At 45.4% G+C, this 15,972-nt stretch overlaps 1 protein-coding gene across 24 annotated transcripts in view, besides 1 other annotated feature; it reads left to right on the top strand.

Annotated features, from left to right (window-relative positions):
• Positions 1-14,610, top strand: part of NCALD (neurocalcin delta) — a 438,366-nt gene extending 423,756 nt beyond the window's left edge. For all 24 annotated transcript variants that reach the window (NM_001040630.2, XM_047422315.1, NM_001040627.2 and 21 more), the window contains 2 exons: positions 8,256-8,361; positions 11,746-14,610. In NM_001040630.2, the coding sequence (NP_001035720.1) occupies positions 8,256-8,361; positions 11,746-11,843 (204 nt within the window). In that variant the 3' untranslated portion in view covers positions 11,844-14,610. The remainder of the gene's footprint in view (positions 1-8,255; positions 8,362-11,745) is intronic.
• Positions 139-218: an enhancer, noted in NCBI's record as "active region_27732". NCBI's record gives its function as "activates an Ori minimal core promoter by ATAC-STARR-seq in GM12878 lymphoblastoid cells {active_cell/tissue: GM12878}" and the evidence as "EXISTENCE:reporter gene assay evidence [ECO:0000049][PMID:35858748]".
• Positions 14,611-15,972: the final 1,362 nt, after the last annotated feature.

Here is a 15,972-nt window from a genome sequence, read left to right as displayed (position 1 = left end):
CAAAGGGACAGACAATCCTGCCACTGTGGCTCTGCAGGGCTGTCACCCACTCACTCTGGGGGCCATTGGGACTCGTCACCTCGACTCTCTGCTCACCGTTCTTGTACCACCCCTGGCATAGGCCTGGCTTTGTAAATAACCCACTAATTCCCATCTGATCTGAGTGTCACGAAAGAGTCATCTGTGAGCCTCTTAAAGAAGACCCCACTTCCTCCTCAAACCCACAACACACTCAGACGTGGTGCCTCCCACCCCATTCCAGAAGCCCTGCTTGCACATATGTTCACATCGGGGACTTCGGACGCCGTTCATTTTGTGGGGGAAGTAGTGGGAGTTGTTTGTTGTATTAACTGATTCTCGTTTCTCTGTGCCAACCCCACTCCTTTAGCCTAATACTGAATAGCAAGACTGGAAGACTTTCCGTTGAGTGTGAGAGCTTCACATACATTCATGTGCTTGCTTGAGCTTTCATTCATTTCTTCAGGAGTGTTAAGGGAATAACCCCTAGATTATTACACAGTTGATTTTTCATCAGAATCCCAAGAAGAAGAATTTCGTGGGCCACAACCTTAGAGGCTGAAAGGTCCAAAGAGTGCTCCAGACCAGTGGGTTTTACTTGCCACCAGGGGACCCAGAGGTAGCCTAGGCAAGGGCTTTCATAACAGCTATCAAGGCATTACTGGGATGACTATACCCATCTAAATGGGGATCATTGAAAAATAAGGTGCTTTTTGTGCCACATATGAGACCTCCCAAGTCCTGTGCTAGAAGATTGTGAGACATGAAATAAGAGAGAGCGGCCAGGCACAGTGGCTCACGCCTGTATTTCCAGCACTTTGGGAGACTGAGGCAGGAAGCCCAGGAGTTCGAGACCAGCTTGGGCAACATAGAGAAACCCCATCTCTACAAATATTTTTTAAAAAATTAACTGGGCGTGGTGGTGCATGCCTTTGGTCCCAGCAACTCAGGAGGCTGGGACAGGAGGATTGTCTGAGACCAGGAGATCAAGGCTGCAGTGAGCCATGATAGCATCACTGCACTCCAGCTTGGGCAACAGAATGAGACCTTTTCTCAAAAAATAAATAAATAAATGAATAAATAAATAAATAAATAAATAAATAAAAATAGAGAGCATATCAGTCTTGTTGACAATTGTATCTCCACTGCTTAGCTCATAGTGGACAATACATAATTATTAAATAATTTACAAATGACTAGTTTTCTTTTTTTAAAATTTTACTTTAGGTTCTTGGATACACGCACAGAACGTGTTGGTTTGTATACGTGTGCCATGGTGGTTTGCTGCACCTATCAACCCATCAACTAGGTTTTAAGCCCTGCATGCATTAGATATTTGTCCTAATGCTCTCCCTCCCCTTGACCCCCACCCCACAACTGGCCCCAGTGTGTGTTGTTCCCTCCCTGTGTCCATGTGTTCTCATTGTTCAGCTCCCACTTATGAGTGAGAATATGTGGTGTTTGGTTTTCTGTTCCTGTGTTAGTTTGCTGAGGATGATGGATTCCAGCTTCATCCATGTCCCTGCAAAGGACATGATCTCATTCCTTTTTATAGCTGCATAGTATTCCATGGTGTATATGTGCCATATTTTCTTTATCCAGCCTATCATTGATGGGAATTTGGGTTGATTACATATCTTTGCTATTGTAGATAGTACTGCAATAAACATACATGTGCATGTGTCTTTATAGTAGAATGATTTATATTCCTTTGGGTATATACCCAGTAATGGGATTGCTGGGTCAAATGGTATTTCTGGTTCTAGATCCTTGAGGAATCGCCACACTGTCTTCCACAATGGTCGAACTAATTTATGTTCCCACCAACAGTGTAAAAGCATTCCTATTTCCCCACAGCCTCACCAGCATCTATTGTTTCTTGACTTTTTAATAATCACCATTGTGACTGGCATGAGATGGTATCTCATTGAGGTTTTGATTCGCATTTCTCTAATGATCATACGCTTTTTCATATGTTTGTAGGCTGCATAAATGTCTTCTTTTGAGAAGTGTCTGTTCATATCCTTTGCCCACTTTTTGATGGTTTTTTTTTTCCTGTAAAATTGTTTAAGTTCCTTGTAGATTCTGGATATTAGACCTTTGTCAGATGGGTAGATTGAAAAAAATTTTCTCCCATTCTGTAGGTTGCCTCTTCACTCTGATGATAGTTTCTTTTGCTGTGCAGAAGCTCTTTGGTTTAATTAGGTCCCATTTGTCAGTTTTGGCTTTTTTTGCTTTTGGCGTTTTCATCATAAAGTCTTTGCCCATGCCTGTGTCCTGAATGGTATTGCCTAGGTTTTCTTCTAGGGTTTTTATGGTTTTGGGTTTTACAGTTAAGTCTTTAATCTATCTTGAGTTAATTTTTGTATAAGGTGTAAGGAAGGGGTGCAGTTTCAGTTTTCTGCATATAGCTAGCCAGTTTTCCAGCACCATTTATTAAATAGGGAATCCTTTCCCCATTACTTGTTTTGTGAGGTTTGTCAAAGATCAGATGGTTGTAGATGTGTGGTGTTATTTCTGAGGTCTCTGTTCTCTTCCATTTGTCTATATGTCTGTTTTGGTACCAGTACCATGCTCTTTTGGTTACTGTAGCCTTGTAATATTGTTTGAAGTCAGGTAATGTAATGCTTCCAGCTTTGTTCTTTTTGCTTACGATTGTCTTGGCTATACAGGCTCTTCTTTGGTTCCATATGAAATTAAATTTTTTTTTCTGGTTCTATGAAGAATGTCAATGGTAGTTTGATGGGAATAACATTGAATCTTTAAATTACTTTGGGCAGTATGGCCATTTTCACAATATTGATTCTTCCTATCCGTGAGGATGGAGTGTTTCTCCATTTGTTTATGTTCTCTCTTATTTACTTGAGCAGTGGTCTGTAATTCTCCTTGAAGAGATCTTTCACCTCCCTTGTTAGCTGTGTTCCTAGGTATTTTATTCTCTTTGTAGCAATTGTGAATGGGAGTTCATTTTTATTTGGATCTCTGCTTGTCTATTGTTGGTGTATAGAAATGCTTGTGATTTTTCCACATTGATTTTGTATCCTGAGACTTTGTGAAGTTGCTTATCAGCTTAAGGAGTTTTGGGGCTGAGATGATGGGGTTTTCTAAATATAGAATCATGTCATCTGCAGAGAAAATTTGATTTCCTCTCTTCTTATTTGAATATGCTTTATTTCTTTCTCTTGCCTGATTGCCCTGGCCAGAACTTCCAACTATGTTGAATAGGAGTGGTGAGACAAGGCATACTTGTTTTGTGCCAGTTTTCAAAGGGAATGCCTCCAGCTTTTGCCCATTCAGTATGATATTGGCTGTGGGTTTGTCATAAATAGCTCTTATTATTTTAAGATATGTTCCATCAATACCTAGTTTATTCAGAGTTTTTAACATGAAGGCCTTTATCAAAGGCCTTTTCTGATCTATTGAGATGATCATGTGTTTTTTGTCATTTATATGTTTCTGTTTATATGATGGATTATGTTTATTTATTTGCATATGTTGAACTAGCCTTCATCCCAGGGATGAAGCCAACTTGATCATGGTGGATAAGCTTTTTGATGTGCTGCTGGATTTGGCTTGTCAGTATTTTATTGAGGATTCTTCCATCGATGTTCTTCAAGGATATTGGCCTGAAATTTTCTTTTTTTGTTGTGTCTCTGCCAGGCATTGGTATCAAAATGATACTAGCCTCATAAAATGAGTTAGGGAGGAGTCCTTCCTTTTCAATTGTTTGGGATAGTTTCAGAAGGAATCGTACCAGCTCCCCTTTGTATCTCTGGTAGAATTTGGCTGTGAATCCATCTGGTCCTGGGCTTTTTTAGGTTGGTAGGCTATTAATTACTGCCTCAATTTCAGAACTTGTTATTGGTCTATTCAGGGATTTAACTTCTTTCTGGTTTAGTCTTGGGAGGGTGTATGTGTCCAGGAATTTATACATTTCTTCTAGATTTTCCCGTTTATTTGCATAGAGATGTTTATAGTATTCTCTGATGATAGTTTATATTTCTGTGGTGTCGGTGGTGATATACCCTTTATCATTTTTTATTGTGTCTATTTGATTATTCTCTCTTTTCTTCTTTATTAGTCTAGCTAGTGGTCTATTTTGTTAATTTTTTCAAAAAAACAGCTCCTGGATTCATTGATTTTTGAAGGGTTTTTTGTGTCTCTGTTTCCTTCTGTTCTGCTCTAATCTTAGTTATTTCTTCTCTTCTGCTAGCTTTTGGATTTGTTTGCTCTTGCTTCCCTAGCTCTTTTAATTGTGATGTTAGAGTGGCGATTTGAGATCCTTCTAGCTTTCTGATGTGGGCATTTAGTGCTATAAATTTCCCTCTTAACACAGCTTTAGCTGTCTCCCAGAGATTCTGGTATGTTGCAAATGACTACTTTTCAATTCTCTGAACACCACTGACTGCAAGTAAGGAAGGGAAGAGAGGTAAATTTGGGAAATGAATGTGAATAGGAAAATCAAATTTAATGTCACTTCCATCTTTTGTTGCTCGTTGGAGAAATACAGATCCCTAAACACTGTGAGGCCTCAGTGGTCTTTCCCTGCTTGCTCTAGAGCCACATTGTGTACTGAACGCCCCCACACTCTGTTGACCTCCTTGCCACGCTCCCACTCTGGGCTTCCACATGGTGTTTTGCTCACCCCTGATTTATTTAAGCCCTATGCTTTCTTCACGTCTTTGTGCAATCATCATTCCTCAGAGAAGCCTACCCTAACCCTCCTGGCAAAACCTAACTCTCCCACTATATCATCACAGAAGCCATGCACTCTTCTTTCTAGCACTTTTCTCAACAATGGTTTTACATGTATTTCTTTATTTTACTAATGTCTGCCTTATTTCACAGCAAAAACCATGAGGGAAAGGATTAGGTCAATGTCAATACCTGGTACACATTAGTTGCTTATACATATTTGATGAATGACTGAGTGAGTGGATGGATGAAGAGGCAGTCACCTAAGAGCAGGGATTTCCATGACCTGGGGTCTATGGATCAGCTTCTAAATACCCAAACCTCTGAGATCGTCTGCAATGGTGGGTGGGTTTGCATGGTTTCTAAGGGAAAAGCTCAAATCTTTTGACAGATTAAGTCTTTAAGGGGTTTCACATGAATATGTTTAATTATGTGAAGAGAGAGAGAAGAAAAAGAAAAGAGGAAACTAAAAAAAACATATAAAAGGATAAAGGGGAACTTTATAAATTGGAGCAGTGCAGAATAAAGGTGAGAGAGGGAAAGAATGAGAGGGCAACTGGGGGACAGTTATTCCTGAATAAATTCTTTAAACTAAGTGAAGTTGACTGTATTCAAGACCCTATGTTAGGTACTATCAGGGATTCAAAAAATAGATGTGACTGCTACCCTCACATCTAAAAGGAGAACATTCTGGGTGTGAATTCAAGGTAAATGGAAGGAAGTGATATGAGAGAGGTTGGGTTGGAGCCCCTTGCTAGCACAGAGGGAGGGAGATTGCACATAGCAATAGAAGAAGGGAAGATGATGGAAGGCTTCCTGGAGGAGGGTAACATTTTGATCTGCTCTTAACACATGGGTAAGAGTCCAAGGAGGAGGGGAGATGGGGTAGGTGAGCACTCAGGTGAGAGAAGAATATAAACAAAGCTGCTGGTCCAGGACACCAAGGAGCGTATCATGTTGTCAGACTCTTGACAACAGCCTTTGTGGAGCATCTGAGCTGGGAGACACCTCCTATGGCCAGTCACAGGCACAAAGCCAGTGGCATCTAGAAGGACCACGTGAGACAAACTTACTGAGGCCAGAACAGACTTGGAGAAGGAACAATCCAGCCCCAAAGAAGATTGATAATGAATAAATACACAGCCCCCTTAAAACTTCTGGCAAAAATAAACTTATCCCTTGTCTGTAAGTGCTCTTCCCCGCAACACCTCTGCAACTCCTGAAACAGCTCCATGCGCTCTCCTTTAAGGAGGTTGTGCTAATGTGATCTGCAGGGATGCCAATTTCTAAATGTTGTGTTATTGTTGTCCTAAGATTCCTGGGCTTATGAATTCACCAAATATTTAGATCATATGAGCTTGAAATGTATGTGAGGGGTGTGCATGTTTTCATAGTTGGTGCCGATTCCATTTTGACTATGTCAAGAGTTACGAAAAGCTTCCACTGTGGGAGCAAAGCAAGCTGGGGAGAGGTTGCTAGACCTCAAGACTTTTGCTGGTGTGAAAAGACACCTGCTGTCTACTGTTACTAAATATTCACCTGGGCGTGTTAAATCTCAGGGCCTCTCTTCTCCCATTTGCAAAAACAGCTCCATCTCTCCGGCCTTTCCTAGCTCCCCCAAGAACTTACGTGTCCCCGGCAGTGAGGCACATGGCACTACAGCCCCAGCACAGTTGGTGGAGCAGACCTGGGCTGGGATGACAGCAGGCAGGGGACCATGATGAGGAGGGCAGACGATGGCTCCCCTCTTGTCTCCAGAGCACACTTCAGTGAGCATTTCTTGGGAATGAAATGGCTCAGCTTACCCCAGGGACACCCATAATCCTAGACAGCACCCTAACTCTGCGCTTTACCTCCCAGACCAAGTCGCTGCAGAGTCAGCTATGGAGTTCAGTAAGCACATTGGGTGGGTTTGAGACAGACTCAGGGAGCCTGTCCAGAAGCATCCCTGAGGGATGGGATCAGCCTAAGGGCCAGCACACTGGGTGAGTCTGTTTTCATTCTTATTTTGACTGAGATTAGAGTACTTACCCTACCTTATCCAGAACATGTTAGGAACTTCTGGCAGGGTTGGTCCTGAGCAAGACTGTAAAGCAGCTCAGGTGAAGCTTCAGTGTCTTTTTCTGCTCTCACCTTTCCCATTTGGAGGCGACTCCCCTCAGCTGCTTTCCTTTCTCTGTCCTCTGCACCTGCCTTGCTGCCCCTAGAGCTCCAGAACTCTCTGAAATTTTCTGCCTACTCCCTGGCAAAATCTATTTTTTCTAAAAATTGTCCCCAGGGCCAAGATGCCCAAAGTGACTCTGATTAGCAAAGTCATGATCTGGGGATAAAAACAATGACTTTTCATTCCTCTTCCCAAATAAAAACTACCTTTGACCACAGAGGTCAAAGGGCCCTTACTGAGTCCCATGTGGAGGTCACAGGCATGGGGTGATAGTTTCAGTAGTGCTTACAAAACTCCACAGAATCCTCTTTCGCCCATCAGATCTCATAGCTGTACCCAGTTTAGCTCAGGCCTGAGGATGCATAATAATTCAGAGCTCTGATGGCAGGTGGTTTCCATCTCAGGACTGCCTGGAAGCTTGCTGAGAAGGAACTTGAGACCATTGTCACACACAGGGAGAAAAGCACTGGAATGGACTAGAAGTCTGCCTGGGGAAACATGTGGCATGCACTTACAGAGTGTTACATGTCTGTCATCCTTGAGGAGTCATTGTGGACTCTCAAGGGTCCATGATAGGCATCCACTTGCCTCTCTAGCCTGAAGAATGTCATCTGCAGCCTTGCTCCTCAAAGTGGGAACCTTGCTTTTCAAAGCAGCGTCTTCAGAACAGCAGCATCAGCATCACACCGGAGCTTATTAAAAATACAGACTCTCAGCCCCACCCCTTTCCCCCACACTACCCAATCAGATTCTGCATTTTAACAAGATTCCCAGGGGATTTGTATGCACATAAACAATGGAGACGGCTAGGAGAGGTGGCGCATGTCTGTAATCCCAGCACTTTGGGAGGCTGAGGGAGGAGAAGCTTGAGCCCAGGAGTTCGAGACCAGCTTGGGCAACATAATGAGACCTTGTCTGTACAGAAAAAAAAAAAAAAAAAAAAAAAAAAAAAAAAACGCCCTGTGTGGTGGGGAGTACCTCTAGTCCCAGCTGCTGCTCAGGAGACTGAGGTGGGAGGATTGCTTGAGCCTATGAAATGGAGCCTGCAGTGAGCCGTAAGCGTGCCACTACACTCCAGCCTGGGTGACAGAATGAGACCCTGTCTCAAAAAACAATCAAAAAACATTGGAGACACAGGGGTCTACTGGGTCTTCCTGCTGGTTGTCCCTCCTGAAGGTCCTCACTGGAGGAGAACAAGCTTTGTGGGCCCGGCTTCTTCTACCTGTGCCTCCACATCTTATACCAATCAATAGGGGTAGGACTAGGTCCAATGCGGATGGGGACATTCCCTTCAGCCCGCATTTGGGAGGTTTAATGATAGGTCTATTGTGTGCCATACTGTTTTTCTGTCTTACCACCATGTCGCTTCTGTCCCCAGGCAATCTATAAGATGGTTTCCTCTGTAATGAAAATGCCTGAAGATGAGTCAACCCCAGAGAAAAGAACAGAAAAGATCTTCCGCCAGATGGACACCAATAGAGACGGTAGGAGGCGGGGGCTACACTGCTTTGCTCAGATGGGGGCTGCTGGAAGGACTGGAGAGTCCAGACTGGGAAGTGCCACTCGAGGCCCTTCAATGTGAGCGGCTCATCCTCCAAGCCTCCTGGGTGGGTAGGAGGGGAGAGGACCAGGTGGCCACAGGAGAGCTGAGCCCAGAATTGGGGGAAATGCCTTATTTCTAGTTTTTTCTATCCTCCTTGTAGGTCAACTTCTACCTCCAAGAAAACAGAATGGATCTTGTGGGGCAAGAATGAAAGGAACCAAGAAACCATTGTTAGCACAGACCCATCCTTGGGACAGGCCTAGGCTATAGCAGGCTGGGTCCCTGCAGTCCAGTTCATCAAAATGGGGAGAGGGTTGTTATTCTGTGATCCTACCCAGATGCCGACAGCTTTCACTCCAGCCTGCCAAAGGGGTTTTGTTGGGGTCTCCTGTGCATGCACTGAGATGTTGTGTTTCCCAGAGACAGTGGGCTCCCATAGTCACTGGGGTGCCCGGGGTAGTGGTGAGGGAGTAAGGTGCCCAGCAGGTTCCCACCCTGATGGTGCTACCCACAATTCAAACCCAACGAAGTGAAAAAGAAGGTTGCATTTCCAACTTAAGAACAGAAGGATTTTAGATCTTAAATTGCCAGATAGAATACAGGAGGCCCAATTATCCTGGAATTTCAGATAAACAGCAACAGTTGTTAGGATTAGCCTAACAATTGTTTAGCCAACTAAAAAAGTCACTTGCTGTTTATCTGAAATTCAAAGTTAACGGGGCATCATGTATTTAATTTGCCAGATCTGGCAACCCTATTTAAATGTTATACTTGAGTTTAAAGAGCTCAGCTCAGGGCCCGGCTCTGTAGCTCTTGCTGTTATTATCAGCTCACCCGATCTGTTCAGAGGCCTCGGCAATTCTTGTCAACCATGTGCACAGGCACTTGGGTCCCCCACCTGGCGCTGATCTATAGAACAGCAGAAGGCGGCTTCGCAGTACAGAGAGCCTCTGTCTCCTTTTATCCCCCGCCCAGGTACAGCTGCCTAAGAATCTGGGTTTGTGTGGTATGGGCCTGTCTGCTTGCTTGTTTCCTCCACAAAGGTGCCATTCCATTTGGAAACATCCTATGTCCCCTTATTTGCTTTGATTCACAATGAATAGTTGTGACTAAACAAGCACGGGATTATTTTAATAGTTAATTAACTTGCTGATGTTAAACTGCAGGTTTTACTGGTACTCAAGGGAGCACAATGGGTTTGTGCTGTGCTCTAGGTCCAGACAGCTCTTCAGGATAGGGCTGAAGGATGGGAGAAGATCAGATGTCACAGGATAAAGCCCTAAAGCCCTAACTGTGTGTTGATCACAGGCAATGAATTAGGGTCTTTCCACTGGGACTCTGCTGCTATGGGATTGCAGAGCCCTGACTGAGTTAGCATTCTCAGAGCACAACTTACTGCTAAAGACCTGTGCCTTTCCAAAGGAAAACCTCATGTTTAAAATTAAATTAAATTTTCAAAGGTTAGGGTTGGGAGAGGGGGGTGGGAGCTGTAGAAGGAAGGAGGAAGAGGGGCTGTAAGTTCACAGCTGTCAGAGGAATCTTAGCTCAACCAGGAGACTGGGTGCTTCAGCTCAGTGCTTGGCTGCTGGACCCCAGGATTGAGGACACCTGCACCCCTCCCTGCCGAGAGCAGAGCAGTCCTCACCTAGAGTCTCCTACCCTTAGATTTAGCTTGCCTGTTGCTCTTGGAATCTAACTTCTGGCCTCCGATTTGAAAAGAAAAATCTGGGCCCTCAGGCAAGTTCTCCTAGGAGCCAACTCTGAATCATGCAGACAGTTAAGTGAAGAAAGCCAGACGTCATGCCGAGCTCCAGGTCTGCCCCTGCTACCTCCAGCTGGTGCCTCCCAGAGCCGACCCCTGAGAGACTGCAAAGTGTTCAGAGATCACGCCTGTCTCCCTTCCCTCATGCCTTGCCAAGCTGGAGGAAGTCATTACCATTGTAACTACTATGTGGGCAGGGCTGGGCTCATAAAAAATGGCCAGCACACAGAGCTTGGAGGGGATCAGCTCTACAAATTAAAAATAAATTAATAAATGCATCCCTATCTTTTTCCTTCATGGAGATAAAGTGGGTTTCATTAAACAAGAACTAGGTTCTGGCGGGGAGGGAGTTGTGGCTGAGGAGAAGATATGTTTGTTGGTGTTTCTGTTGGGGGAGGCCCCCTCCTGTCAGGTTTGGAGTAAGTTGAGAAATAAAAGAGGACAGAGGTCAAAAGATAGATACTGGAGGCTATGGCTTAGCGTGAGAGTCCAAGGACGTGCTGAAAAACCCACAGGCGTGCAGAGCCAGGCAGGCCGGGTGCTGCCCTTGGAGGAGCAGATGGAAATAAATCCTCTCTGGGGCAGCTCCTTTCAAGAGAAAAAGGGAGGGCAAAGCTGGGCGGAGATGCCCAGCAATTCCTCCCAAATTTACCAATCGAGCATGTCACTTCACTCCCAGGGGCGGGGTAGACAAAGAGGAAGGGTCCTTCTGGAAGCACCAGGAATGGGAAAAGCCTTGCAGTCCCCCAACTCCTACCCCACCCCCTCCCCTCCTCTCCACAAGTGACAGGCCTTCCTGGAAGAGAATTCTGTACGTGCTCCAGAGTAAGCAGAAAGGAAAGGTCACCGGGGTCGGAGTGGGAGCCCAGGCTGCTGAGCCTCCCTCCTCCAGCACATCAGGGTAGCAGGAGAGCACCCTAACTGAGAGGCAGAAACCCATGGGTTACCCTCTGCCTTGAACATACCCTGCTCTTCCCTGACCTCAGATGGAGGCACAGCTGTCTTCCCGTGGTGTATGAACAAACACTTACGTCCACGGCTTCTTCCCCAAGATAGGATGGGCTCTTGCAGCAAACCTAAGAACACAGAGTGGCCTGAAGAACACGAAGTGGCTCAGAAGGCTCCAGGGAACATTATGGGAACCAACCGGGTGCTGCCAGGGCCCAGCTCATTCTCATAAATGCAGGAGGGCCACTTGCTTTACAAATGCTGAGTGAGCCTCTCCAGGGCGCCTGGAGCCAGGAGGTCAGGGACCAAGTCAGCATCATCCACCACCCTCTCCCCAGTCCCGGGCCCAGGGCCGGGCACACAGTGGGCTCTCAGGCAGCGGCGTTTGATTGCCACATGTACTGTCCTAAGTGCTGGCAATGCCATGGTGAATGAGGCAGCAGTGTTCCTGGAGATTCCACTGGGCTCTTCCCCGGGACAGGTGAGTGCTGTGTGTCACAGTGGCAGTGAGGCTGCAGGCAGGTGAATCGACACTGCCCAGCACGCAGTAGTGGGAAGGGTGTAAGCTCATGCAGCTGCCACCAGCCACCACTCACCTGTCCTCTTGCTTCCTAGGAAAACTCTCCCTGGAAGAGTTCATCCGAGGAGCCAAAAGCGACCCGTCCATTGTGCGCCTCCTGCAGTGCGACCCGAGCAGTGCCGGCCAGTTCTGAGCCCTGCGCCCACCAATCGAATTGTAGAGCTGCTTGTGTTCCCTTTTGATTCTTCTTTTTAACAATTTTTTTTTTTTTTTGCCAAACAATATCAATGGTGATGCCGTCCCCTGTGCGGTCTGATGCGCCTTCCTCCGTGACGCCTTCAGCTTCTTTTGTCGTGGATGCTTCGTGGGAATGCCCAGAGCCCCAGTGTGCTTGTGGAGAGCATGGACAGACTTCGTGGTGTTCATTGTTTGATGATTTTTAATCGTTACTATTATTTTTTTTTATTCTAATGTCTCTGTTCTAAAACGTAAGACTCGGGGGTTGGGGCAAAAGAAGGGAAACCCATCCAGTCCTGTGATTCTATTGCAAGCTTCAAGGGGCTTTTGTTTGAAAGACAAAACTCCCCACCTGAATCTGTTGTCACACGTGCCGTAGGGGTGATGGATGGCACCGGATGCTGGATTCCCCAAGAACAAGTTACCCTCTGGGGTGAGGCTATTCCAGCGAGCTGGGACATTTCCCCATGGGGGCCCACTCCCCTCTCTTCCCCAGCAGGCTGTAGTTTCTAAGCTGTGAACATTTCAAGATAAATTAACAGAGGAGAGGAAAAAGATGGCTCAGCTATTTTTTCACAGGTTTACACTAGTTGAGCTAATATGCGTGTCTTTGGAAATTAAACACAAATGGTAACATATTCCAAAACCAGACCCATCTTGTTGCCTATTGTGATAAAATAAAAAGACGGCTGTATATAACATATTGGGTAATGCAGACCAAATTAAGTGTTTTGCCTTGTTTAAATGAAATGCATGTTTAGTGAGCACTAATACAATCTTATTCCAGAAGACTGTTTTTAGTAGCTTATTGTGAAGTAAGACAACTATAATGAATGTCTGTCTTGTTTGGAAGTCATATCTGTCTTTGCACAAATGTACCAATCGACAAGTATATTTTATATATTCCATAAAAATACAAAGTAACCCTGACTAGGGCCCAACTTTAATTTTGAATGCATTTCCAGAGTGGCCATGCCTAGAGGGCAGATGCAGAGCAGGTGGTAGTGGGACAGGACAATTGGAGCACAGGAATGTTAACATGTATGACAGGGGACCAGTAGGGTGGTTTCCCTCTCAGGCCCAGCAGCCCATTGACAGCATTAGACTGGCGGCATGGTGCTTTTCTGAGCAGATCAATACTCTGCAGACTCGAAAAAACATCACATACATTCTTGGAACTTCCCAGTGGTTTAATCTATGTGCATGGTTAGGGAGCCAGGTCTGGAATATTCAGTTTCCCTGCCCCTGTTAAAGAATCAGAGGTTGGGCAGTCATCAAATTCATCATAAAGACATGGGCAAGTGTGTCTGTGGTTTCCAAGGCCCCCCTATGGAGAATCCAAAAGTATTTTCCATTGCCGTGCTCTTTGAATGCAGACTTCTATTTCCAGAAGTGACAGCACAAGTCTGAGTTGCTGTTTGGTCTGGTGACCTCAGACACACTAATTTGAATTGAAAGCTAAGAGTAAAAATTTGCTGGTTACAGGCGAGTCATACTCTTGCAAGTAGTTAGCAAAGGGAGGCCCAAATTCTCAAGGTTGTTGATGGGGAACTTGCCACTAAGAGAAGGCAGAGAGGTCCCTAGTGGGTATATTTGCTGCCAAGCCACTTGCCAAAGAAGAGGAACCACAGAAAGAGAGACATCATGACCAGGAGAAAAATGTGACTAGACATGCTAACCTCCAGGTTTTTATATATGACTTGAGTCTGCTGTAATTGGCAGCAGAAATCCAAATTTGTATGGTAGACCAAAAAGAACCAAATCCATAGGGTGAAATTTTGAGACCTAGACTCTGTAAAAATAATCCTAGTCTTCCTCCAGGGGTCAGTTCCTCACAGTGGTTCTGTACCAAAACTTGCCAAATTCCTCCATGGCCAAGTGTTAAAATCTGTGTTTGGAAAATAGCGAATTAACCTAAGACACAGAAGGCAGACTGGGTGAGGAGACCTAGCATGCCCTATTGGCAGTGCTCAGGAGCTGCATCCCACTTTTCCCTGCTCTGAATCGAAGTCCTAGTTCCTTCCTTTGATTCTCCTTTGGTAGGTGGAATCAGTTAATGTTTTGAGAAACCTGCCTGGGCTCTGCCCTTAGTCATGACATCTCGCTGAGCCAGACCCACTCTGTTCCTTGGAACCTAGAGCTGGAGTGAGGAGTAGAGGTCTCCGGCTATTCCAGAAAGAAAAGTGAGCCACATGCAGGCTGATGAATGCCGACACTTCCAGAATGTATAGAAATAGTCCCTGTCCTGGCCTGCCACTGACCCTGTCTGTATTTTCTCGGAGGTTGTTTTTCTCCTTCTCCTTCCCAGGAAGGTCTTTGTATGTCGAATCCAGTGCACTCAAGTTTGGCCAAGGGACTCCACAGCACCCAGAAGACTGCATGCCTCAAGGTTTATGTCACTCCTCTGCTGGGCTGTTCATTGTCATTGCTGTGTTCAGGGACCTTTGGAAATAAAACCTGTTCTGTCCCAAATAAAACCAGCCTGTGATGTTCAAGGGACTGGAATAAAGTGGCTTACGACCTGAAGGATTCTACAGAGTGCTCAACTGTTCATACATCATTCAGAGTGGGAGGGAGCTGGGGGTGCTGTCCCATCCCATCTGTATGCCCACGGTGGATTTAATAATATATAATTTATAAATCATAGCCTATGGAGTGGCCCGTAAATCAGTTGACTGTGTAGCTCTTGCCTGGCATTAAAGCATGTTTTTGGTTTAACATGATTTTCATGAGATTTTCATGCCTAAACTGCTGCCCCAGCTGAATCTGTGCCTTACTGAGGCTCTAGCTTCTGATACTAGCCTCCTCCTGGGTATTTTTCCTGCCTAGAGTGACACAAGGAACCAAGGTTTGTGAGGGGGGATGAGAGAGGCTGCTGACCCCAAAGTTCTGTCCAAAGGCATCCTTGGTCTTCATATGGGCTTCCTTACATCCCTCCCTCCATGGTCTACACTTCCTTCCCATATCCTCTCCTTCCTCAAACTAGAGTCCAAATGTTAGGTACAATAAAGGGAGAAACTGAGGCAACCTCCCCTTCAATGGGATCTGGGTAAGCTTCAGGAAATAAATAACCTCTTCACCCCTCTCAGCCTGAGAAGGTTCAGTGAAAAAGATGACATGAGGCAGAGCCTACACTCTGAAAGCCAGTTCCAATCATGGTGTTGGCTGTTGCTGTCATTGGCCTTGCCTCCAGCACAGGAGGCCGTTACTGTAGAGAAAAGGAGCTGCCATCTTGCTAACTTGAGTGTTAGCTGTGGGAGAACTTCACGGGCCAACTAGACCATGTGTGGGGGCAGAGTTGCCCTCGAGGGAGTCTTCCTACTGCACACAGTTGGCCACTATGGACCAGTGATGGCCCTGACACCATGAGTCCTGAGCATGAATAACACAAGTCTGATCCTGAGAAGGTGGCTGGGCGTCTCCAATCTCATCAGGAGCCTGCCTACCAGCAACCTGGGAATTTTCAGCAAATTTCCAAACCTGAGGCTCCTATTTTCAGGACATTGTTCTGCTGCCCCAACCCAACTGAGTCCCCACACATCCTAGTTCGGTACCCACCAGCTGAGGAAGAGTCCAAGTGTTCTCTCAGTCAAGGTAGAAAGGAGAGCATAAGAACTGCCTTTGAAAGAATGGACCTCCTTCCCTTTTTTTTTTTTTTTTTTTTTGCTTTGGTGGTTCTCTCTTTTTTTTTTATTTATTTATTATTATACTTTAAGTTTTAGGGTACATGTGTACATTGTGCAGGTTAGTTACATATGTATACATGTGCCATGCTGGTGCGCTGCACCCACTAACTCGTCATCTAGCATTAGGTATATCTCCCAATGCTATCCCTTCCCCCTCCCCCCACCCCACCACAGTCCCCAGAGTGTGATATTCCCCTTCCTGTGTCCATGTGGTCTCATTGTTCAATTCCCACCTATGAGTGAGAATATGCAGTGTTTGGTTTTTTGTTCTTGCGATAGTTTGCTGAGAATGATGGTTTCCAGTTTCATCCATGTCCCTACAAAGGACATGAACTCATCATTTTTTATGGCTGCATAGTATTCAATGGTGTATATGTGCCACATTTTCTTAATCCAGTC

The sequence above is a fragment of the Homo sapiens genome, chromosome 8, assembly GCF_000001405.40.
Source record: "Homo sapiens chromosome 8, GRCh38.p14 Primary Assembly".
Taxonomy (NCBI): domain Eukaryota; kingdom Metazoa; phylum Chordata; class Mammalia; order Primates; family Hominidae; genus Homo; species Homo sapiens.
Note: the sequence above shows the minus strand (reverse complement) of the source record. Positions and strands in the feature narration are given on the sequence as shown.